General features: G+C 37.2%; 1 pseudogene across 1 annotated transcript in view; it reads right to left on the minus strand.

Moving 5' to 3' along the window:
* Nucleotides 1-10056: 10056 nt before the first annotated feature.
* Nucleotides 10057-27542, minus strand: part of TRPA2P (transient receptor potential cation channel subfamily A member 2, pseudogene) — a 48883-nt pseudogene continuing 31397 nt past the window's right edge. Inside the window, exons 13-20 of the transcript NR_033867.2 lie at nucleotides 23020-23087; nucleotides 21474-21636; nucleotides 20595-20684; nucleotides 19315-19484; nucleotides 17066-17195; nucleotides 16301-16483; nucleotides 12604-12672; nucleotides 10057-10169 (exon numbers count right to left, since the gene is read on the minus strand). The product of NR_033867.2 is annotated as a transient receptor potential cation channel subfamily A member 2, pseudogene (transcript). The remainder of the gene's footprint in view (nucleotides 10170-12603; nucleotides 12673-16300; nucleotides 16484-17065; nucleotides 17196-19314; nucleotides 19485-20594; nucleotides 20685-21473; nucleotides 21637-23019; nucleotides 23088-27542) is intronic.

Consider the following 27542-nt stretch of genomic DNA (forward strand, 5'->3'; position numbering starts at 1 on the left):
AGCATTTATCTACCCATGCAACAGGAGTATTGGGGGCTTATCATTTATCAGTCACTTGCTAGGTGCTGAGAGTTTAAATTCAAATAATACCAGGTTCTTGACCTCAGAGAATTGACACTTTGATGGAGTAGAGACTTGTAAATAATTTTAGGAGATTCAGAAATATTTACAGATATATATCTATACATACTGCTGTTAGAGAAGAAAAAAAGGGGCAAGAAATTCCAATACGGGACAGATCTTAGTCTTCAAAAAGAAGTACCATTGAGGTGCTTTGCAAACTGTTCTCCTGCTAGTCAAAATAGATGAGTCTCTCCTCAGTCAGCAACATAAAATATCAGTACCATTGCACTCACAAGAAAAATAGTTGAATTAGAAGTCATGGAGCTCCTGTCAAAATTCAGGCAAATAAAACTGAGATTCAGTGAATAGATTCTAAGTGTGTGGAAGACATGATCTATTTACACATTTAGAAAATGGAACAGGTTTGGGCTGGGTGTTTCTGCCTCCCCACACCCCTCTAAATCTTGGTCAAGAGCTGCATGAGAAGAGTGCCCCTCATCCCACAGGGTCGTGAAGAAGAGCCCTCGCTGAAACTCTTCTCCTCAGCATCCCTCTGCTTGTTTGCTTTTTTGTTTTGTGTGTGTGTGTGTGTGTGTGTGTGTGTGTGTGTGTGTGTGTGTGTGTGTGTGTTTTTGAGACTGAGTCTCCCTCTGTTGCCAGGCTGGAGTACAGTGGCGCAACCTTTGTCCCCCGGGCTCAAGTGATTCTCCTGCCTCAGCCTTCCGAGTAGCTGGGACTACAGGCGTGCGCCACCAGCTAATTTTTGTATTTTCGGTAGAGGCGGGGTTTCATCATGTTGCCCAGGATGGTCTTGAGCTCTTGACCTCGTGATCCCCCCACCTCGGCCTCTCAAAGTGCTGGGATTACAGGTGTGAGCTACCGCACCGGGCCGTCCCTCTCCTTCTAATCCTCCTCCATTCCCTTCCTGAGTCGAGGCTTCTGCTGAAGAGCCCTTACTGGAGATCAGCATCCTGTGATCCTGAGCATCCATGAGACATATGCACCTCTAACCTCCCTTGGAAAGGGTTTACATAGGATTGAACGGAGGGAGAGTTACTATTGTTTTTACTTCTTCTCTAAGCCATGTTTTCTGTCGCACACACCAGATTTCAGTGGCTTGCCTTCTGTGAATAGAAATTTGTCAGACACTTATTTTGTTGATTTAGTTCTGTTGGTAAACACTGGAGCACAGTCTCGTAGTCATCTCTCGGAGTTAGAACTGTCAGCTACTAGGAGCTAAAAAAAAAGAGGGACTCCTAGGCATACTGCCATTCAACAGAATCTCTTTCTTTATTCTAAGAGTTCAAAAAATATGGTGCAGCCAGATTTTTTCTTTTTCACAGAGTTAAGTATAATCCAGCTAAAAATAGTGCCATGTTTTAATATCTGTAACCTAGAATTTTTATCCACGCAAAAATATTTTCACTTATAGCCGTTTGTGTAAACTTTGCTTAAGGAAATTAATTAATAGATATATGAGTACTTAATTTTAAATGTGAATCTCCATAAATAAAAACATATTTTCATTGGCTAATAAAATTCCCTCATCCCCTCAATTACTTTGCTCTCTCCAGTGTAAATCCTTTTTAGGAAAAATGGGATGACAGCTGGCATTATTTGGTCTCCGTTATGTGCATGGCTGACTGATAAGCAATTTACACACATTCTCCTCTTCAGGTCTTATAAGAAACTTATGTCTCTCTTAGAGAGACATATTATCTCCATTTTCCTAAGAAGAATACAGATTTGGGGGATTAAGTAACATTTCAAAGATCACATAGAAAAATGTCAATGCTGGAATTTGAGCTATGGTCGATCTAATTTTAAAAGTCTACTTCTAGATTTGTAAAATTTAATCTATCCTTGACACATGCATGGAACAGAAGACTCTTCCTCTAGCACTGGCAGAGGAAAGGATTAGAATAATGAGATAACTTTCTACAATATGTAAAACCATGTACACCTAACAACACATCAACAATCATACAATTGAAAATGTGGTTTAATCGTAGCTGTAGATATGTTTTGTCATAAGTGAGACCTACACTTCAATAGCAACAATAAAAATGAATTAATATTTAGAATATAAATTCTGGCACATACACCACATCTTCTTTAAAATTCATTGAATATATTGAAATAAAACCAGTCATGTAAAATGACTTAATGATGAACTTATGGAATATCCTATAGTTCTCAGTGTATGTTTAGAACTTTCTGGTGTTCCAATCTTACCATAGACCAGGGGCTTACAGCCTGTGCCTGGTCCCATCAGGACCCAACAGGTGGATGTTCGATATTATCTTCTCTTTTAGGTCACTTGCCAATCAGGAAGTTAAACAATGACCTATGTTCTTCATATAAGAAAGCAGAACATTCCGGGCCTTTAATGTTTCAAAAACTTCTCTGTATTGGCCTAGAGGCTTCTCTTACTTGGACTTTTACAGTGGCTTGAGGTCATAGTTTTGGGATGCAAACACATAACATTCACTTCCAACTTCTGACTCCATTTATATTTCTCATCTATTTATTTCTGCCCTGGTTCTTGTCTGACATCTTGATTTTGGCACCAAATTAGTTCTTCATAAGAATGAATCTAAAAGTAGGCCCTGCTGTTTATTCTAAGTTTTTCTTAAATCCTCTGATTTTCTTCCTAGGTATGTCTCCATATATTTAACTATAAGCAGTCCTTTTTCAGCACATTATATTGGTGCTTATAATATGTTATCAGAAGAATAGTTTTTGCTGCATGTCATAAAAACCTGGATTCCAACAGTCTTAAACTATCCATTATTCCACATAGCAGGAGATCCAGAGAAAATGCAGGCTTCAAGTTTGGTTGACCTGGTGATGTCATCAACGATCCAGGATCATTTCATCTCTTCTCAGCCATTCTCAGTTTAGGCTCCATTTTCAGGCTGGTGGAAATATAGCTGCAGCAGTTCAAGTTTTCTAATTCTGACACAATATCTAGAAGGGAAGAGACCATCCTTTTCTGGAGGTCTCTCTTTGAGCCAAGGAAATGTTTCTTGAAGGTCCCTGCAGACTTCCTCACACATCTCATTGGTCATATGCCCAGGCTTGAAACCACTCACTGGCAAGAGGAATGAATCTGCAATGATTCAGGTCAGTCACCTGGGTGGAGTGAATGTGGGGGAATCAGCCACAATATTCACATGTAGTGAATTTCTTCCAAATATGTTATAAATAGTGATGATGTTGGCATACTATTTGGTTGTGTGCATAGTGCCATGACACTGGTCTGTTGAAAACAAAGAAATATTTTACGTGGTGTAATATGTTGCAGGATCTTGGGGGCAAAACTACAAAGTATTTTTGATGCAATGTTCCTGTTATATTTACAGAACCTACTACATGCTGGAGTTCTCTGATACAATGCTAATAAATTTATCCAAAGCTAAAATTTGAATGAATTGTATTAGCTGCTTCATCCTTATAGAATAAGATTGCATCCTTTCAATAATGGGTGTAATACCATATTAAGTGATGCATTTCACTGTTGCTGGCTATGCAGGATATGCTAAGAGACTGTGATTCTGGTTTTCCCAGCATTGATAGATCATTCACCTCCATATCACCTAAAAGAAGAAAGTTAAAGGCAGCAGTATATTTATTTGTTGAGGGTTGTCACCGTGTTCCCTTTCCTTGCTGTGGGTGAGTGGAAGGAAGCTGCAAGAAGACCACTCACAGAGCTTGGCATATGCCCATTAGTATTCGGAGGAGGAAGCGACTGGTACCTGATGCCTACCTGAAAATGTCTAATGGGAAAGATCTGGCCAACCACTCTGAAGGCAGAGCAAGAGGAGTGTACTACATTCAGAGGAAGCCACTCTTCTACCAAAAGCAAGGACAAGGTATGTTTCCCATGATGACCAAAACCTGCAGAAGGAAGGTGTTCGTGAGTCCTCTTAACAGTGATCTCAGTAGGAAGAAAACTAGGAAAGCAGGGTGTGGTGGAAGCCAAAGAAAGAATGGGCAGCAATTACAAACATTCTTAGATATCAAGTGCCCATTGGATTTGGCATGAAGTTAGTTGGCACGTTTGGTGGTGAAGGAGTAAGCCCGGTTGCAGCACATTGCATTTTCACGGTCATCAGTTGTAGGTTTGATGGAAAGAAATTGAGGAACTTTCCATCTGTATTCATTATTTGTTGCTTCATAACAAGATCTCCCCCAACCCCCGAAACATAGCAGCTTAACACACCACACATTCATTATTTTACAGTATGTGTGGGTCAGTAATTTAGGCACAACTTATCTGGGTCCTCTTCTTTAGGGCTTCTCAGAAGGCAACAGTCAAGGTGCCAATCAAAAGTGGAGTCTCATCCAAACACTTGTCTGGGAAGGAGCTGCTTCCAGGGACAAGTGATCCTTGGCAGAATTTAGTCCCCACAGGACTGTTGGGCCGAGGGCCTCAGTTCCTAGCCAGCTGTTGGCAAGAGTTCCTTGCCACAGGGGCCTCTCAAATATGATGACATACTAGTTTTATATCACTGAATAACAAATTACCACAAATTGAGAAACTTGATGGAATCCAGGAACGCTTGACTAAGTTCTGTGAATCTCATAAGGCTGAAGTCAAGGTATCAGTCATGCTGGGTTCTTTTCTGGAAGATCTGGGAGGAAATCCACTTCCAAGCTCATAAAGGCTGTTGGAAGCATCCAATCCCTTGTGGTTGTAGACCCGAGGTCCCTGTTTCCTTGCTGGCTATCAGTTAGGGCCTGCTCTTTGCTCCTAGAAGCTGCCTGCATTCTTCATCATGTGGTCACTTCCATCTACAAAGCCAGCAATGGGGTGTTGAATCCTTTTCATGCTTTAAAACTTTTACTTCCCTTATTGCCACCTGTCAGGGAGAACTCTTTGTTTTGAAGGACTTGCATGATTAGATTAGGTACACCCAAATAGTCTCCTATCTTCAGGTTAACTGTGCCATATAACACAACATAACATGGCATAGCATAACATAACATAACATAACATAACATAACATAACATAACATAACATAACATAACATAACGAAACAGTGAAAGTGATATAAGTTTCATAGGTTCTGGGGATTAGAGTATAATATCTTGGTGTAGGGTAGGTTACCTTTTTATGTTTCTATTTTCTTCTAGGGGTAGGGGGCCTAGAGCGAGTAGGACTTGCTATGGGCAAAAGTTTAGAGTCAAGTGGGGAAGTATTCAAATAGAGTTAAGAACAAAGAAACAGACAAATTAGGGAAACAGAATTATTGCTGGGAAGCACAGGATGATGCCTTGAGGTAAGAGGTTAGGAATTTAGCTATTAAAGGACACAAAATGCTTATAATTTTCAAAATTCCCCGTCTTATTTGCGTAGCATATCTAGATACAAGACAGCATTTCTAGATTCATGAGTGGTCCAAGGGACTTTGATTAACTTAACTATAGCAAATATACCATTCTTTGTGAGACTATCTGATGGGCAGCCATGGACCCAAGGAGATTTTCTACCCAAAATCTCACAAATTGCCACTCACATATGTATTTATTTTAGGCAATCATAATCATAATCAAAATTTGGTCAATGTAATGGCATAATTAAAATGTGAAATTATTGTTGTTATGCAAAACGTAAGTGGATACATGTTTAGTGTTAAAAAAATTGAGCTAATATTGAGTTGGTAGTGTTTCATCTGATTTCAAAGTTTCTGCAAGATTTTCCAGCCTTGAGCAATTTGAACTGTGCAGTGAATGAAACTACTGAAAGAAACTAGCATACAATAAGCAAATGAAAAGTATGCAGTTGTATAACTCTTAGGCATATTGCTGGACAGCACAATATTATTCTGACCTTAAACAAGTTACTTAACTTCTCTGAGCCTTAGTTTCTTCATCTTCAAAAATTAGGAAAATAGTATGTCTCTTGCAGTGTATTAAATGAGACAGCACAAGTAATTAAAACAGAGTAAGGGATACATGTATTTATTTATCCTAAATGTATTTTTTCTATTTTGTTGTTCAATTTACACCAAGAAGAATTATTCGTCCAAATGTTGCCATTCAAACCTTAATTGTTATAAAATCAAGTAAATGTCTGAAGTCTATTCTAAGATGCTACAAAAACTTAAAACAACATTATATATATATTTTTTCCCTTTGGGAGGGGAGTCTAAAAACAATGCAATCCCCTTTTCAGTAATAGAAACTTTATCTTAATTTTATATTTATTCAAAAGACTAATTTACAATCACTGTGTTCTAATGTTGGCAAAGAACCTTATTATTTCTCTAATGGAATTGATCTATAAATTTTCATACTTCAAAAGCCTTAATAAATAAATATTAATCAGAGGATCTCACAAAAACTGTGACTGAAAAATATACATACGAGTTCAGCCAAGAAAAAAATGAGTGTAATCAGACTGCTACTCAATTTTAATATTGGAGAACAAAGAAGGTAAATAGCTAATCTATGACAAATGAGGATTTACTCATTGCCAAAATACAATGGATCATTTGTTGTATACTCAAAAAAGTCAGATCTTAATGGAACTTAATAATATTGGCTTTTCCAGTGGCCCTTTTTTTTTGTTCATATAAAACTTGATTTTTTTCAATTAAGTACAATTGCAATTGTACTTAATCAAACTGCAATTTGAAAATAGTAAAGTATATTTTAAGTTGTTATCTGCTGTTTTTGGTAAATTGATGCATCACTGACAATCAAAGAATATACACATATAGATATTACTGTCATTCTTATATTACAAGCCACATTTACTGACTCACTTAAATGACTTAATATGGTGCATATACCAAATTAAAGGCTGGAGTGATCATTTAAAATTTCTAATCACTTTTGACAGCTTGATTCTACTCTGCTTTGTAAGAGTTAGGCTTTGTAAGCCTACTCAGAAGATAGTGTGGGGTTAGAGTAGAGCCTAGACTGTTATTCAGGGCGAATTTATCATTTTATGACTACACAAAGGAAATTAACCTGCAAAGAACTCAGGAAGAACAGTCATAGAGATGAGGGCAGCCCAGGCATGGTTAGAATTAGCACCCAGTAATTCTGGCTCTTTATATGGTCCCTCTTCCATTATAATGCAATGGTCTTGCTTAGTCTTTGATCACTTCATATACTTTCTATAGTGGACATTCCAACTGTGAGAGTGTGTGTGTGTGTGTGTGTGTGTGTGTGTGTGTGTGTGAGAGAGAGAGAGAGAGAGAGAGACAGAGTTAGGCTTTTTGTTCCCAACCAAATCTCATCTTGAATTGTAATCTCCATAATTTGTCAAGGGAGAGACCAGGTGGAGGTAATTGGATCATGGGGGCAGTTTCCTGCACACTGGTCTCATGATAGTGAGTGAGATCTCATGAGATCTGATGGTTTTATAAGTGTCTGGTAGCTCCTCCTGCATTCATTTTCCATCCTGCCACCTTGTGAAGAAGGCGCCTTGCTTCCCCTTTACCTCTGTCATGATTGTAAGCTTCCTGAGGCCTCCCCAGCCATGTGGAACTGTGTCAATTAAACCTGTTTTCTTTATAAACTACCTAGTCTCAGGCAGTTCGTTATAGCAGTGTGAAAATGGACTAATACAGTAAATTGATACTGGGGAGAGTGGGGTACTGCCATAAAGATACCTGAAAATGTGAAAGTGACTTTGGAACTGGGTAACAGGCATTGGTGGGAACAGTTTGGAGGGTTCAGAAAACAAGAAGATGTGGAAAAGTGTGGACTTGTTGAATGACTTTGACCAAAATGCTGATAGTGATATGGACAATGAAGTCCAGGCTGAGATAGTCTCAGATGGAGATGAGGAACTTGGGAATTGGAATAAAGGTGCTTCTTACTATGCTTTAGCATAGGGACTATCAGCATGTTGCCCCTGCTCTAGAGATCTGTGAAACTTTGAACTAGAGAGAGATTGATTTAGAGTATCTGGCAGAAGAAATTTCGAAGCAGCAAAGCATTCAATAGGTGCCCTGCATGCTCTTAAAAGCATTCAGTTTTATGCATTCGCAGAGAGATGGCTTGGAATTGGAACCCATATTTAAAAGGGAAGCAGAGCATAAAAATTTGGAAAATTTGCAGCCTGATAATGTGACAGAAAAGAAGAATCTATTTTCTGTGGACAGACTCAAGCCAGCTGCAGAAATCTGCATAAGTAATGAGGAGCCAAGTGTTAATCCCAAAGACAATGGGGAAAATGTTTCCAGGGCATGTCAGAGGTCTTTATGGCAGCACCTCCAATCAGGCCCAGAAGCCTAGGAGGAAAATACAGTTTTGTGGGCTGGGCCCAGGGCCTTGCTGCTTTGTGCAGTCTTGGAACTTTGTACCTCATGACCCACCCATGGCTAAAAGGGGCCAAGGTACAGCTCAAACCTTTGGTTCCGAGGGTGCAAGCCCCAAGCCTTGGCAGTTTACATGTTGTGTTGGGCCTGAGAGTACAGAGAAGTCAAGAATTGAGGTTTGGGAACCTCCGTCTAGATTTCAGATGATGTACGGAAATGCCTGGATGTCCAGCCAGAAGTTTGCTGCAAAGGCGAAGCTCTCATGAAGAACCTCTGCTAGGGCAGTGTGGAAGGGAAATGTGGGCTAGGAGCCCCAACACCGAGTCCCCACTAGGGTACTGCATAGTGGAGCTGCGAGAAGAGGGCCAACATCCTCCAGACCCCAGAATGGTAGATCCACTGACAGCTTGCACCATGCACCTGGAAAAGCTGCAGACACTCAATGCCAGCCTGTGAAAGCAACTGGGAGGGGTGCTGTAACCTGTAAAGCCATAGGGATGGAGCTGCCCAAGGCTATGGGAGCCCACCTGTTGCATCAGTATGACCTAGATGTGAGACATTGAGTTGCATGGAACTTTAAGGTTTAATGACTGCCCAACCAGATTCCAGACTTGCATGGGACCTGTAGCCCCTCTGTTTTGGCTAATTTCTACCATTTAAAACAGGAATATTTACCCAATGCCTGTACTCCCATTGTATCTTGGAAATAACTAATTTGCTTTTGATTTTACAGGCCCCTAGGCAGAAGGACTTCCCTTGTCTCAGATGAAACTTTGGACTTGGACTTTTGGGTTAATGCTGGAATAAATTATGACTTTGGAGGACTGTTGGGAAGGCATGATTTGCTTCAAAATGTGAAAGATACATGAGATTTGACAGGGGCCAGGGCTGGAATGACATGGTTAGGGTTTGTGTTTCCACCTAAATCTCATCTTGAATTATAATCCCCATAATCCCCATAATGCCCACATGTCAAGGCAGAGACCAGGTGAAGATAATTGGATGATAGGGACAGTTTCCCTCATGCTGTTCTCATGATAGTGAGTGAATTCTCACAAGATCTAATGGTTTTATAAGTGTTTGGTAGTTCCTCTTGCATTCATTCTCCTTCCTGCTGCCTGTGAGAAGGTGCCTTGCTTCCCCTTTGCCTTCCACCATAATCGTAAGTTTCCTGAGGTCTCCCAAGCCATGTGCAACTGTGAGTCAATTAAACCTCTTTCCTTTATAAACTACTCAATCTCAGGCAGTTCTTTATATCAGTGTGAAAATGGATTAATACTGTGTGTGTGTGTGTAAATGTGTGTTCTTTATTGTATATTATAAACACTTAGCTGTACATACACACATATATATCTGCACACAAATGTAAGTGACATGTGACTAGGAAAAACAAATGAAGTATATCTTTGCTGTAATAAAAGATACTGAAAGGGTAAGGTTGGTCCCCCACCCATCTGCTCTCACAGGGACAGTGTGTATTTAACACAGATGCTATGGATGAGCCACCCAAAACATGAGGGCAAATTTCACCCTCTGTCACTTAGTCCTTTCACATCTTGAGTTAATCATATTCATTTTTTTTAAAGCACAGCTACTTTTTTCTCATAGGCAGAGACGGCTCAAAGTCTGTAAAATGACCCCCTTAGGAATAACACAAGGAATGGATGTCAAGCAGTGTCAGATTATTGATGTTATTTGTTACGTGTACTTACAAATAATGTCCCATCACATCTGGGTTTGTTGGGACATACGGCGGTGGATTTCCGATCCACTTTGCGTATGCAACAGCATGGCAGCTTCTATTCTAAGCTGGTATGGAGTTTCACCTAAAATGCATTTTGGATTTATTGACAGAACCATTAATTAGTATCTGAAATTCTTATATGGCACAGAGGCAATCATTAGTACAGCAAAATGAAAACTGATTCCTACTTCCTGACTTCTGGACAGCAGCTGGGCTGACCTCTCACTTTCATTTCAGAGGATTCTATGAGAGCATTAAATGACCCTGTAGGAAATGCATGCTACATATCCACTGCTGCTGTGGGCTCAGACATAGGTTTCAGAATGGATGCAGAGAGTTGCTTAAGAAACAACTCAGGGGAAGTAGGAGAACGGCTTCCTGGTTTTCTAGTCGATTCTGTTTTTGATCCGAAACAAGGCACAGATAACATGGGGGTACTAGGATTTGTGTTATTTACTTTCAGGGAGCAAAGTAAACAAAATATAGCATCGTACTTTTCAGCTCAACGCTACTGGCATTGTAGTTGAGTGAGCTTCCCCAAGATATTTTATTTGGTGCTACTGCTTGTATTATTATTTTTATTTATTCCCCAGTGTATTTTAAAGAGGTATTAGGGCATTTATGAGGTATTGCTGACATACCTGCCAAGAAGTTTATACATCCCCTCTCCATATAAACATACCTGGAGTCCTAAACCCCATCTTTGTGACACTAACAACCTGTCATTAGCTCTTCCTACCTCTGATCTTTCCCCACTAAACCAAGATAACAGCAGATCACATACGCACCATTTTCATTGTGGAAGAGCTAATAATAACTCTCCACTAACTTACAAAGTAACTTGAAGCACTTCATAATTTACTGCCCTTTTGCTAAGGTTTTTCTCTGCTAGTTTTGAATAAACCCCCCTGTCATCTGGAGCAATCTAGTCACCCACTAACATGAATGATCCTTCCAGGCAAGGGGGCCTTGGGCCAGTGCCTTGGCCATTTTCCCTGTTCTGATGTGGCCTTTGGCTCTTACTGGCCCCTCCTTTCGGGACGGTATCGATGTCCTGTTAAATCCCAACCATCTTTCAACACTGACTCATCTCACCCCCTCCATGTAGCATTCCCTTATTTTTGCATTTTTTTCTGTACCTGATAATCATTTAATTGTTTTTGTTCTCTAAATGTTCCAATCACTCTGTATCTCTGTAATAATATACAGCCATGTCATACAGGATAGAATTTAAGAATAGTTCTCAGTTGATTTTTGATATTTCATTCTATGAATGCCTAGCTGGTGTGCTAAGTAGACATAGTTCACTTAACAGTCAGGGATCACATCCCTCCGTTTCCTCTGGGCTCTCATGCTAAGCATCCCAGCATCTCCTGGGATGCTGCACTTTGTACACTCTATGTATTGAAACATTGTTTTTCAATAAATAAATGCTAATGTATGGCTGAAGGAATAACAGAGAAGAAAATTGTGACAAATAAGAGTGAAGAGGAGACAAGAGTGAATAGAAAGTTATAACATAACACGATTTTTCTATCTCTCAAACTGGCCAAAGTTTCTGAATGCGTATAGTAAACTGGTCAACAAATATCCTTGAAGCATCAAAAATGCCCACTTGAATTTGAAATTTAAAGACAATCCAGTCAAGAACAGGTAAATAACTTGGTGTTGTATTACAGAAAAGTAACTCACAATATTCAATAGCCAAGGACCTAGCCAAGAAACTTTGACACCACATTTTACATCAAATTGTCCATAAAAATAAGAGACATGTCACAAGAGAACAAAACCACATAGATTCAGTTAAAACTTCAATATAAATCTTGCTGTGGGGACCCTGTGATTCCCTGCACAAAATAGAAGCAGCTCCTTAAAACAGCGGGGCTAGGATGCCAGTGATGCTCTTGATCAAGCGGCTAGCTACCTGGGTGGCCACAGGTTAACATAACAAAAGATGCTCAGGCAATTTCTTAATTTCTCTACTAAAATTGTTCTAGGACATTTTTTTCATCATCTTTGATTACAGCAGGTATACCAGATAACATGCAAAAAGACACAGGATGTGACTCCTCAGGATTAAGAAAACATCCATTGCTAAATAACTGTGCTCTCAGAAAAGGAAGTAATTATAATTGTGTTAATTTCAGTAGGTTTAAATAGATGTAATGCAGACAATGCCTAATTTAGGATGGTTCAACTCATGTCTTTTTGACTTTATGATGGTGTGAAAGTGATACACATTCAGTAGAATCTAAACTTCAAATTTTAAACTTTGATCTGTTCTGGGCTAGCGGTATGTGGTACTCTCCTGGGATGCTGGACAGTGGCAGCGAGCCACAGAACCCAGTCAGCCACATGATCAGGAGGGAAAATAGCCCAACTTTACAGTGTAAGTGGTGTAAATTTATAACTGGCATATTCCTACAAAATGCCCATTTTTGACTTGTAATATTTTTAACTTATTGTGGGTTTACCAGAAGATAACACTGTCATAAGTGGGGAGGCACTGCACTTACCTGCATAGCTATCCTCTTCAATGATGCATGTTTCTGGACCTCAGCAATGTCACCAACTGCCAAACCAATCTGAAGTATGACACAAAATTAAATCACTACAGTTGAATGGTCCACCTAAAAATGCATGTAAGGTCTGTCTTAGTCCATTCAGACTGCTATGACAAAATATTTTAGTCTGGGTAATGTATAAATAGCATAAGTTAATTGCTTACAGTTCTGCAGGCTGGGAAGTCCAAAATCAAGACTCAGGCAGAACTGGTTTCCGGTGAGAGCCCATTCCTCGTAGGTGGCACCTTCTATGTGTTCCCGTATGGCAGAAGGGCAAAGAAGCTAATAAGCTCCCTCATAGCTCTTTTATAAGGGAACTAATTCCATTCATAAGGGCTCTCCCCTCATGGCCTAATCACCTCCCAAAGGCCCCACCTTCTAATGCCATCTTCTTGGTGATTAGGTTTCTATATATACATTTTGGATGGGACATAAAAATTCAAACCATAGCAAGGCCTCTGTGGCTAAAGTGGGAGAGTGGGCATATGATCTACTAGTAGTAGCTGCAGAATACTTTGGTAATACACCTTACAGAAAACTACAAAGCCTATATACCTCTGCAACAATGACGGACACATTCAGAGGTTCAGTACTCTTAAGTGTTAAGACACACACATTAATCTGAAATTCATTTCATTTAAGATAAAAATCTGTTTTGTTTTATTTGTTTTTTTTTTTGCAAGGACAAGGATGATGTGATATTACATGCAATTGGGTGTGGCCACACAACATGGCAGGAAACTCCAGGAGTTTAGTAACTAAGGTAGACAAGAGCGATTTAACAACATGGAAACAAATACTAAACTGAGAGAATGATACATTTTATATCTTGTATATGTTCAGAAGGAAAACATATATTATAGGGGCAGGAGAGGCTCTGGTAAGAAACCAGAAATTTATGGCTAGATAGGATTAGGTGGGGGGAAGGTGTTAGCTCAGTTCTACTCAATCTGATGAATTAGCTCATTTCACTCACTCATTTATTTTTCAGGCACTTAGTTCCTGTCTTTGCTGAGCCAGTGTCTTGCATGCTGCACCAGAAAGAAAAGTCAGTGACTGCTCTTGAGGAGCTCAAAGTCCAGTAAACCATATGTGAAAAGTGATCTGTCAAGGTCATCACTGTATGCCCAGTGCTTAGTATAGAGCAGGGCACATAATAGGTAAACAAAACAGTCACAGAATGAATGAAGACAGGGAGAATATATTCTAGGGCTTGCAAACTAGCATTGAGAACTGGATATAGTCAGGAAATAGGTTTTACTGGGCAGAATAACTTTTGTTTGGTTTTTCATTTGCAAGTCTTCAGCTGGGTATTCTCACCGATTTACAACAGTCGCCATCAAAACCAAACATCTCTGATTTTTGCCAGGCGTGGCAGCTCACATTTGTAATCTCAGCACTTTGGGAGGCTGAAGTGGGAGGATCACTTGAGCCCTGGACTTCCAGACCAGCCTGAGCAACACAGTGAAACCCTCTCTCTACAAAAATACAAAAATTACCTGGGCATGGTGGTGAGCACCTGTAGTTGCAGCTACTAGGTTGGCTGAGGTGGGAGGATCATCTGAGACTGGGAGGTAGAAGCTTCAGTGAGCCATGATCACTCCACTGCACTCCAGCCTGGGTCACAGACTGAAACCCTGTCTCAAAAAAAAAAAAAAAAAAATACCCAAAGCTAACCATCTCATACCTGCTGCTTCACATATTTTAGATACTTGCCTGGGGTCTGAAGACATTTGAACTTGTAAGCCATAGAAGAGATCAATTATTAACTTTTAATGGTCACTAACATTTATCAAATGCTTATCATGTGCCAAGTACTGTTTTAAGTCCCTTGTATTAGCTGATTTAATCTTTGCAATAATCTAGAAAGTAGGCTTCATTATTATTATCTGTTTGTATCCTCAAAGCTATGGTAACACAAGGAAAGAGCACCCAATAGAGTAAGGTAATTGGAAGTCTACCCCAAAGAAATGATACTTGTGCTGTTTTGAAAGCGTAGCGTTAACCCATGGTGGGAGGATTTCCAGGCAAAAGGAAGAGCCTCTACAGAGTGTAGGCAGCATGAAGGAAAGAGTGGCACACTCAGGGAATGTGCATTTCTGGGTAAATCCTGGGAACAGTAGGAATTGGGTAAGATATAGGTAAATCCAGCTCATAGGGACATTTGCCTGCTATGCTGATGGGTTTGGACTGAATTAAAGCTTTTGAAGAGGCATGGAAAAAATACTTAAAAGAGTCACTGATGGGTTCAGTTTTTAATTATCAGATGGTCACTCTGGTGACCATTTGTAGGAAGAATTAGACAAAGCAGTGTGATAAGGTAGAGATGCTCTTGAGGCTGCTGCATCAATTTGGATGAGGAACCGTAACAGTCCAAGCCAACTGGAAGCAGATGTGAAAGCCAAAGAATTACTGAAAGAACTGATGAAAAATGTGGGAGAGTGAAATAGAGACTATCTGCCAATGATCTTAGTAGGATGACTAGGAGATTCTACTGAGAGGCAGTGGAGATTCTGAAGGAAAGATAACATTAGTCTTGGCTCTGTTGGTTTTGATTTTCCACCAGGATATCCAGGTAGAGATGCACAGTGGGTGTTGGATGTTTGGATCTTCAGAATGGGGCCAACCTGTACTACTGCTAAGCCCAATTCTCTTCTGGATAATTATCTCCCAAAACATAAACAATTATCAGAGAACAATGTAGGCTTTGTGTCATTCTCCATTATTCCTATTGCCATCCTTTGTTTTTCTAGGTCACCAAAATAAAACTCTGGAGTTGTATCAAATAAGTGGACCAAAATACTTACGAGCCTGCATAATTTTTTTCTTTCCAGAAGCACTAACTAGCACATTCTCTGGTACATAGTCAGACTCAGAGAAAGTGTGTGGAATACGTACATGTGTGCATAAATGGATAAAGGAAAAACAGGCATGAAAATGCCAATAAGCAACCACCACAGACCTAGAGTGGGATGCACCTTTGCCTGCATCAGCCAGCATGCTCATGGCTTGGGCAGATTCTCTAGAGAATTCCATGTGGAAGGGCACTCTCATGTCTGCTGATAGGGTCTAGGCTTTGGCAGGGTTCAGGGTGGCATCTGAACGTTGCAGACGCCCTTTGCATGAGAGACTTCTCCACTTGGATGTCTGGTCAATGGTAAATTTGAGCATAGAGACAATATGTTCCGTAAAGGTCTCTGCCTAACCTCTGACCCCCTCTCCAACTCCAAAGCATCACACACCTTCATCTTTATTGCCTTTCCCTGCTTCTTATTTCTTCATAGCATTTATCACCCCCATGACATTATGCTACACAGTTATTTGTTTATTTAACTTCCTGACTATTTTGTAATCACACTAGGACTGAATATTGGTCTGCTTTCTTCAACACTGTTTCCCAGAACTTGCAACAGTTCATGGTATTTAGTAGATTCTCGGTATTTGCCAAGTGCATGCATCTGTGCACGCCCTGAGCCTCTTGATGTGCCTGGTGCTCCCCAGGCACCAAATGAGTGTTGAATGAATAGATTTTGTGGTAGATCCTTTCTCATCTCCCCAGTGGAGGGAGATTAAAGAAGTTAAAAATAATTATCATTATGAAATGTTTCAAATGATCAATGAACAGAAAATACATGAAAAAACTACTTACAAGTAAATTCATGAGGACAATTGGGGCAAATACTGTGAAGGAAATAAGCTGTGCAAAGGACAGAACTGGATGTGCCAATTTATTCTTCAGAAATGGTTCTAGGAAGGACTCTCAATAATTGATATTTCCTTGTATCATGCTGAAGGTCTGTATTATAGACAGCAATGGAGAACTAAAGGCATCCTGAAATGCGAGGTGTATACAATGAAAAAATGTTTCCTGGAGAGTAGAATTCTGAAAAAATGTTTCAGAATACTTTTTAAAATTCAGAGGTATGCAGTGATAAAATATTAATAAGCAGTGGCAAAGTCATCAAAAGTATATTTTCTGCATAAAGAATAAATCATCGTGCACTTTACATAAACTTTTTTTTTTTTTTTTGAGATGGAGTTTTGTTCTTTTTGCCCAGGCTGGAGTGCAATGGTGCGATCTTGGCTCACTGCAACTTCTGCCTCCCGGGTTCAAGCGATTCTTCTGCCTCAGCCTCCCAAGTAACTGGGATTACAGGCATGAGCCACTACGCCTGGCCTAAACTTTTTGACGATGGAAAAAGTTACTTAACAAGACCCTACTTTTTTGTAGAATTCAAAAAAGGAAAATGATTTTTCTAAAATCATTTGAAAGATATAGCAGATGAAAAAAACTAAAGTATTAAAATACTGTTGTTATGTAATTATAAATTTTCTAGACTATTTAGATTTACATATAAATGTATATTTCCATAATTCACAGTGATAAAATCAACTACTGATACAACTGCCTTACCTGTAAATTCAGGAGGACGTAAAAGCTGAGTCCAAAAGCCAAAAGAAGGAAGAAAAATACAACTGCAGACCTCAACAAAGTTTTAAAAATTACCTCCAATATAACAATGAAAATTCCACAATTCTCAAATCTAGGAAAATGAAAAAATAAAATATATACTCACTTTTGTGGTCAAAGTGTATCCATACAGCGAAACCATCGTGTATTAAATCAGGTATTAGATTTCATAGATGAGATCATTGAGGCCAATTATTTTGAAAAAGAAAACATTAATTGAATAATCATATCTCATTTTCAATGTGTTAATCAAATTTATTTTTTCTTACTATTAATGTTATCTAGTTTTGGATCCAAGATCTTGCTTTATCACCCAGGTTGGAGTGCAGAGGTGTGATCATGGCTCACTACAACTCTGACCTCCGAGGTTCAGGTGATCCTCCTGTCTTAGCTTCCCAAGTAGCTGGGACCACAAGTGTGTGCCATCAAACCTGGCTGATTATTGCATTTTTTTTGTAGAGAAAGGATTTTGCCATGTTGCCCATGCTGGTCTCAAACTCCTGGTCTCAAGCAATCAGCCGACCTCGGCCTTTCAAAGTGCTGGGATTACAAGGGTGAGCCACTGCGCCTGGCCCTAAGGTTATCTTAAATCATTTTACCGCTTGGCAACTGGACATTACTTCAACTGAAGTAGGCGAGAAAAATAACAGCTTCCCAATATCAAAGAAGATGCTACCAAATTGGTAATAAAGAAATTAGAGAGGTAAATGGTGTGCTACATCAAGCAGAGATTAACTGAGTTCATGAACTGGAAGACACCTAATGCAGGGTACACAACATATGATTTGTATTTGATCCTTTTATCTCCTTCAGTTTTCTTTTCTACCCACTGCATCCTATATTGGGAAATGTCTGGATAAATAATGGGTTTGTCATCTGGCCACTAACTTGTACTTTGCATTTGGCAAAGACAACTTGTTAAAAGAGGAAATCACAATACTATAAAGCTGAAAGGGACTTCAGCTAAGTTCACAGAGATGCCTAGTAACTCACTAAAGCCACTAATAATGACAGAGCCAAGGGTGTGACAGTGTCTGAACCTGCCTTAAATCCTCTTATTCCTTAGCCACTGCCTTTGTTACCATACCATGTCCTCTCCAAGAGGACACACTCAACTTTGTGCCACTGTGCTCCTGACACAGTAATGCAGACGATATGGTAGAAAAAGTACGCCCCCTGGAGTCAGAAAGACTTTGATTAAATACCTATGTAGTGAATGAATAGCTGAGATCTTCAGCAAGTTACTGAACTCAGTGCTTCAGCTTCTTTTAGACGATGCGAGTAACAACATTGGCCTCGAGTAACAACATTGGCCTCGTTATTGGAAAGATTATGTGAAATAACATGAAACTTTCAGAGGCTGGGGAACTCAACCTTTTTTCCTTCTCTAGAATTAAATTATTTAGGCTTATTTTTTCTTTTATACCACTTCGATTCCACATACTATCTATCAGTTCACTTTGACTGTTTTAATGCAAAGTAAATGCTTACATATAATATCAGGTAAAACAAGAATAGCCAACACTTTTCCCACTTACTTACCCCATTTAATCTAGATTTGTCTAAACCAATGTTCTTGACCTGGGCTCATTTGGTACCCAGGAGACATCTGGCATTGTCTGCATACATTTTTGGTTGTCACAACTGGAGTGGGATGGATGCTACTGGTATGTAGTGGGTAGAAGCCAGGAGCCAGGAATGCTGCTAAGCGTTTTAAATTATACAAGACAGTCCCCCTCTACAAAAAAAAAAGAATAAGAAGAAAGAGAAGGAGAAGGAGAAAGAAGAAGAAGAAGAAGAAGAAGAGGAAGAAGAAGAAGAAGAAGAGGAAGAGGAAGAAGAAGAAGAAGAAGAAGAAGAAGAAGAAGAAGAAGAAGAAGAAGAAGAAGAAGAAGAAGAAAAGAAAGAAAGAAAGAGAAAGGAGGGAAGGGGAGGGGAGGGAAGGGAAGGGAAGGGAGGAAAAAAATTATCTGGCCACAAAGAACAATAGTGCCGAGTTTGAGAAACCCTGGTCTACATTCTGAACTCTGGAATCATGCTCCAGCCTTTCCTTAATAGGGCATAAAAAATTCTTCACATTTTGAAACAACTGGAAAAGGAATAAGCCAGTTTCAAATGTACACCACTTACAATAGTTTTTCTTTTGATATTAAAAATGCTTAAAGATGGGGAAATCATTAAAGCTTTTTTACCTTCAAAGACACAATAAGAAATTAATCCAATAAAAATAAACCACGATTGCTCCACATTGCCACTGCAGATGGGCTGCTATTTCAGTGAACAAGGGCAGCACTAAAATGGGGCCCATCGTGTTGATAATCCATTCAGTACTACTGCTAATATCCATAAAGTAATTCCTTTTCTGGGATAGAAAAGAATAAAAAATTACCACATATAGAGACCTTGCATCTGTGGATGATTATATACATGTACCCAGTAATAAAATTTTTCTAGCTTTACAGCTATCTGGGGAGAAGTTTAGGACCAAGGAGTAACCTCATGCCATCCTGGATTGACTTCAGAGCCCTTGGGGTATAGATCGGTGTTGGAGATGGCCCAGAGTCCTCTGTTAACCTGGTGTTATGGGAGTCTGTTGCCTAAGGAAATCCTACAAATTGCTGGGCTTTCCTTGTGGAGACCACTCTGCAATGATAAAAATGCAAAGCATTATTATCATCAAATTTATAAATGCAAATATCTATGTGTTTACACGATGCAACAAAGAAAATTTTCACACAAAGTGAAGTGTTGTATAAAAGATGTATGATTTATAAAAATAATATTCATGAAAATATACAAAAAAATTATAAAAGACTTTCAACCTCCATACTGAGAAATGAAGGATCCATACCATTTATCAACCAAAGGAAGGACCTATACATAATTTATATACTTGGTTCTGATCTGAACTTGGCTCACTCATTAAAAAAATAGAAGATAAAGTAAAAATTATGCTATAAAAAGTTCCAAAATTGTATTAAAACTTGGAATTTTATTTAAAAGGAAAAATTTCTGTTAGAATTCAAAGACAGACCCATTTGAAATGGAGTCTTGGGCTAGATAACTTCTTTATAAACTTTTACATTAAAAATTATCAAGTTCAAAATCTAACCATTATGTTAGCAAAATCTTTAAAAACTATGTAAGAGGAAAGACAGAAAAGTCACTCATAATAACCAAAAGGTCACCCATAATAACCATGTGTAGCTAGACAGATCTTTATGGACCAGTAAAAGTGGAACATCTCTTTTATAGATATATATAGATATATCAAACAGGCAGTGACCTTACCCAAAATCATGTGATTTCTACATTTTGAAACATTTATGCTTGGTATTTCTAATCTATATGTTAGTCAAGCTATGTGAATTTATTATGACACAGTATTATCTCAAGTAACAGCTTATCAATTAATTTATGTTCTGAATATTAAAATATTTGCAACTTTAGACATACAAAATGTATTTCATACCTGTTGGAAAATTTGAACCACTTCTTTGACATACCCTAATATACTTGAGCAAAAAACTAAAATCATACAAATTGTTATTAGACTTGAATTCTAAAACAAAAAAGGGTAAGATACATAGTTATGAGGATATAAAACACTTCAACATTTCCAAAATTTTCACTATTAAATTTTTTACTTATTTTGCTTAATTTATACTGTCTACATTTGCGTTAAACAGAAAATTTAAATGATGCAAATACTCATATAATTTACTAGAGATGAACACACCCACATTTCATAATGTCCTTATTAAGAGAAGTTCAAAAATTGCCAATGGAACTATAAAAGAATATGAATCTGTAGACCTACATAAAATTTTTATTGTGGTAAAATACATATATAAAATTTACCATTTTAAAATTGTTACATTTTACATGTATATTTACATTTTAAAATATAAAATTCAGTGGCAATAAGTGTATTCACAATGTTATACCACCATCACCATTATCTGGTTCCATAACTTTTTCATCTTTTCAAATGGAAATCACATACCTACAAAGCATCTCTCCCCATTCCCATGCCCCACTTTCCCTGACAACTACGAATGTGATTTCTTGTAGACCTATTTTAAAGTTATACACTTCAGCATTTAAGCTAGCATCTAAAAATGCCAATTCCTTTTAAATTAGTTTATAAAATCATTTATTGACCTGTTTGTTTATATTCTCTCTTATTCTACAAAGGATTTTAGAAGAAATTCATACCATATACAAATTTTTACAGGCTATCTATAGTAATCAAAGTTTTGATATTTCAGATTTATTATGGTTTAGTATTCTTAAGAAAAAATACACTTTTTATAATCCTGTATTTTAAAAAGTCAAAATTTGAAATTACCATGTTATCTAGTATTTCTGAATGATCACTAGTTTTATTGATGATTCCAGCAGAGTTGAAAGCCATTCCTGGTTTTATTCTGACAACAAGAAAGGTCATTGGTATGAGACCAAGACAGTAAAATCCTAGATTTATCATATGGGCTATAAATCCGTAAGCCAACCTACAAAAAAAATAAGCAAACCAGAATTGAGTTGTTTTAAACAAAAATATTTACTTCAGATACCTGTGGGAAAAGTGGTAGTAATCTCTTTCAGAAACCTAGTTTGGAAATTCACTGAAGTTTAAAATCAAGTAAATCTTCTAATTCACCTTTTTCATTTTCAGAGAAGGAATCTCAAGTTCTGAGGAAATTATGACTTCACAAATTAATGAAAGAGTAGGATCTTTAGCCCACATAATCCGAAACCAAGATGAACGCTCTTCCCAGAACACACCTCTCACTTCTATGTCCACTACACTGTAGGCTTCAGAGTGCCTCTCCATGTTTGACATAATAATTCCTTCCCATTCCCCAAATATTCAATTTAATGTTAAAGATAAACAAATTGTAGGCTCTAGGAAGTTTCTTCATGTCTTACATAGTAATTTTCTCCCACCTCCTAAATAATTCATTTAATGATAAAGGTAAACAATGCCAGTATTTCAATACCAATATTTGCCTTTGATGCTTATTCTTTTTAAAGTGTAAAACATTAAAATAACAAAATCAAAAACATTAAAATACCACTAAAACATAATTGTTTTGAAGATTTTTAAATAGATTCAATAGGCACAGCATTAAACAATAAATACTACTTAATATCCAGCATTTCATGAGTAAATACTCTTTACACACAGGATGATGGAGAAGCTCTGTGCAGTTATATTGTAACACTGCCTCAGAAATAAAGAGTAATAAAAATACAATAATAATAAATTACTGAGTATAAACTAATATTTTTATTGTCTGGCTTTATAACTTTATTTTGATATTGTAAAAGTGACACTTATTTTTGAAAATTGGAAAAATTAAAAATTACATCAAGATAAAAAAACAGAGAACCATTTCACGCAAGTACAATTATTTGACACAGTTTGTCACTTTAGATGCCTGACTGCTAGAGGTAACATAAGGTTTTTAATCTTATATAGGGTTACAACAGGAAATGACATTAAAGGTAAATTATCAAGAGTTATATCCTCATTCTGTCCATGAAGGAATTCAGGCTTATCCTTCCAGAAAGTTTTTATATAGTAGAATACACATAAATATTTGTTAAGTTAAATCTAGACTATAAATTTTCATTAGAATTATTTGTAACTACTAGTATTTATTTAAAAATTGGTTTTTAATTATTCAAGAAATACATAGAGGGATGAATGTCAATAAGGTAGCAAAACAGGAAGTCCTCCTCCACAGAGATATGTAATTAAAAACAATACACAGACCATTACCTTTGTGAGCAATGCAGAACCTAGTTAAGAGATGCCTAAACCCTAGGTGAGCATGTAACCAAAAAGAACCATATCAAAGACAGTAGAAAAATTCATGGCCTTTACTCACCACAGCTCTTCCCTCTGGCACAGCACAGTGTCATTGGGAAAAAAAAACTTTCAACTCCTGGTTTCTCCCTGGAATAAGAGAAAAAAAAGAGTGGAAGATACATCCAATGTTCTGATTTCTGAGAGGCTACCCAAGAAAATGTTTTTTATCTTGCCTGAATCTAAGCTCTGAAAGGAATAAGTGCCAGGAGAGGATCACTGATAACAAAGTTGGTCACTGGGACTTAGTCTAATGCCAGAGAAGATACAGTGTCACAGACAGACACTAGGCAGTGTCCCAGTATCATGACTTGCTACAGCACCAGAGAGGCTGTAGTACCACAGACATATACTGAGGGGAGGTACTGAGTAAAGAGAGGTAAGCCTCTTCAACTGGTAGATAACAAGCACAAGCCCAGAGAAGATGAATCCCTAGAAAAGGCTTGAGAGGTCTCCAGCCTTTTCTAAAGAGAGGTAAGCCTCTTTAACTGGTAGATAACAAGCACAAGCCCAGAGAAGATGAATGCCTAGAAAAGGCTTGAGAGGCCTCCAGCATTTGTAGCCAGGCAGAAGAAACAATGAGTGAATTCAATGACAGGATATTCAAAATTATCAAGTCTGAAGAGCAAAAAGAAAAAAGAAAAGAAAAGAAGAAAAGTGAAGAGAGCCTAAGGGATTTAAAGAAAACAAGCAGAACAGCATGCACATTATGAAAAGTTCCAAAGGAGAAAAAGAAGATGGAGGATTAGAAAGCCTATTTGAATAAATAGTGACTGAAAATCTCCCTAATCTGAGAAAAGAAATGAACACACACATTCAAGAAGCTCAAAGAACTTCAACTAGCATAAATTTAAAGTGAGCTATCCTGAGACACATTATAATCAAACTGTCAAAATTCAGACAGAGACAATTTTGAAATCAGCAAGAGAAAAGCAAGCTATCACATACCCAGTAGCTCCAATATGATTATCAGCAAATTTCTAGGCAGAAACATTGCAGGCTAGAAGAGAGTGGAATGATATATTCAAACTACTGACAGAAAATAAACTGACAACCAAGAATATTATAACTGGTAAAAACGGTCCTTTAAAAATAAAGGAGAAATAAGATTTTCCCAGGTAAACATAGGGCGAGAAAGTGCATCACCACTAGACTGGCCCTATAAGAAATGCTGAAGAGAGTTCTTCAAATTGAAATGAAAAAAATGTTAAACAGCAACACAAAATGATACAAAAGTATAAAACTCTCTGGTAAAGGTCAACATATAGACAATTATAGAATTCTGTCATATTATAAGCAAAAAAATTACTTTTAAATCTGGCATAAAAGTATTTAAACAATAGCACAGAAAGTAACTCTAAATCTATGTTAATGGATATGCAATTAAGAAGCAGTATTATGCATCATCAAGAACGTAAAAGTGGATGTGGATGAAGTAATACAAAGTAGAGTTTTTCTATGCAGTTGAAGTTAAATTGTTATCAGTTTAAAATAGATTCTTATACATTTAAGATATTTGATGTAATTGCAATGTTAACTGATAAGAAAATATGTATATAATATACACAAAAGGAAACAGTAAGGGAATCAAAACATATCACTACAAGAAAAATATCAATGAAACACAAAAGAAGACAGCAAGATAGGAGAAAAGAGATGAAAGAGCTACCACATACTGAAAACAATTAATGAAGTGGCAATAGTAAGTGATTTCCTGTCAGTAATTACTTTAAAGGTAAATTGGTTAAACTCTCCTATTAAAATACAAAGATTGACTGAATGGATAAAACACAGGATTCAACTATATGCTGTCTACAAGAGACTCAGTTTAGATATAAGAACAACACACCGAAAGTGAAAAGATGGAAAAATATTCCATCCTTTCACATATTCCATTCAAATAAGTAATATGTAGTATTTCTTTTAAAAGATAAGGAATATGTGGTATGTACATACAATGGAATATTATTCAGCCTTAAAAAAGAAGAAAGTCACGTCACATGCTCTAATATGGATGAACCTTGAGGAGATTATGGTAAATGAAATAAGCGAGTCACAGAAATACAAATACTTTAAGATTCCACTTATATGAAGTACTTAAATTAGTGAAAATCATAGAAACAGAAAATAGAAAGTGGTTTCCAAGGGCTGGGGGAAGGTTGAGGGGAAATTAGTGTTTAATAAGTACAGGGTTTCAGTTTTGCAACATGAAAGAATTCTAGACATTTCTTGAGTAACAATATGAAAATAATTAACACTACTGAACTGTACATTTGAAAACAGTTAAGACAGTAAATTTAACTTTATGTTTTTTGCCACAAGCAAAAAAGAAAAGAAATATATAAACAAATTCTTTTTTAAAATACTGAAACATTAGGTAAGGCCCTACTTCTCACCACACCTATGCCCCAATTCTGGGCATGATGTCATTTCCCCAGTAGTATCATCATTACTAACTTGTTCATCCTCCCAAATCCTTTTCTATATTTCTAAACACAAACATGCATGTACAAAAACTTACATGTAGTTATAGAAAATATGATTATTTTGTATTTACGTTTTTACTCAACTTATGTCTTCCACTTGCTTATTTATTCAACAACATAGCCTACAAATATATCAAAGTTATTTAAAGATTATCAGTAACATTGTTTTTAAATACTGCTTAATATTCTATTGTATGGATTTAGCAGTTTATTTAGACTGTCCCTTGTTGATTAACACCACTACTGTTTAACATTTTGCAAGTAAAAATGATGCAGCCAGGATCGTCTGCTTAGCCCCTGGAGAAGATTTTTTTTTAATTTGGTAAGTTATATCTTTTATTTCTGGAAAATTCTCAGACATTATTCTGCTTAATTTTTCTCTCCATCATTCTCTCTAAAAATAAAAAAAAATCCATCTTTCTGGAACTACTTTTAGATAGAAGTTAGGGTTTCTTGTTTTAGCCTCCTTGTATTAACTTTGATTTGTTTGTAGTTTCCAAAATTATTCCACCAAACAACTTCTACATTTTTGGACTGAACACCCACCTACATTTTGGAAAACCTTCTGCTATAATTCTCATCAGCACTGTATTAGACTTTTTCTATCCTGGTGTTCATAAAAATCCTCTGAGAGGCTTATTTAAAAAGTAGATTCCTAGGTCTACTCCCAAATATTCTGGGTTAGTAGGTCTAAGATGGGCCTTATGAACCTTCATTTTAATAAACGAACCACAGTAATTATGATTCAAGCAGCCAGAGATTCCAGTTTAAAAACTACTACTGTGTCATCAACAACTGAGTATTTCTAGGTTCACTGTTTTTATTTTCAACTTATTTTTACCCTAACCATTTGAAAAGTAATTGAGATATACTGGTAGACAGTATTCTTGGGGAATTAAAGAACCCCTTGTTGCAAATATTTGTTGTCAGTTGGATGCTCAGTGGAACCCATAAAACTACATATCTAGCTATTCTTGGGGGAAAAAAACCTTACAGGATCTAACTATTGTTTTTTGAGATCTGAACTAAATTTCCATGTAGATGTGACTTTTTTTCCGTTTAAAATTAATGTTTTTCTCAAGCTAAAATGAAAAATATGGAAACATATTTGTAAGAGGAACTCACTTAAAATGTTACTAATATTCAAAAACCATACTAGAGACACATACAGATAGTTGTTTTCCATGTGCTTTCATTAAAACAATCCTCTTATTATGTTTTGAAATCTTGTAACTCTGCTTTTAAACTAATAACAAATATGGCAAACCTACCCCTTAGGGTATATAAGTACAATGTAAGTTTAAATATCACCCAAATGAAGAGTAAATAAGAGTTAAAGTATCCAACGTGTTTGTAGCTGTGCTAATAGAGCTTCTAAGGAAGCTCTACTCTTGCATGAACCATTAATGAAATAGCCTCTCACTGGATCCAGTTTGTCTTAATCTCAGTATCTGATTTCTTATGTTCTCCTATTTGGTCCATCTGACTTTCAAACTTTCTGTGCAAAATAATTTCCCATCAGGCCAGCTGCCTTCCTGAAAAGCCCCACTCAGCTCACTTATATCTAAGGCAAGGTTTGCTAAGCTATTAAGACGTCATAAACTCTTGTGCTGGTTTGACACTGAGTGCACTGTATTTATCCAAGTGAGCCTATTTCATTTAAATTATACATTGCCCATTGTTATATATTGCCTATTTCTTTTTAGATGCCACATAGATCTTATTTCCTCCTATTCTTATTCTGATGGTGGAGACCAAAAAAAAAGATACATTTTCTTTCTGATAGAAGTATTGCCTATTTTAAAAATTAAAATTAAGAAACACATACATATGCAACAATTGTTCTAAGTATAACTGTAATGTAGTTACTATTGGATCACTGGATATCGATTATGAACTATACTAATAGCAAAACATAACATACTCCAGGAGAGCTAAAGTTCTTACAGCAAAGGTGAGTCAGTTGCCATCACCAGTGTTGAGGGCATAAAATCCCCATGAGTCTGCATCCTTCACACTCCAAGTGCTCGGTAAGTCTTAAAGGTTTAACTTTGGGTGA

The sequence above is a fragment of the Homo sapiens genome, chromosome 8, assembly GCF_000001405.40.
Source record: "Homo sapiens chromosome 8, GRCh38.p14 Primary Assembly".
NCBI classification, from domain to species: domain Eukaryota; kingdom Metazoa; phylum Chordata; class Mammalia; order Primates; family Hominidae; genus Homo; species Homo sapiens.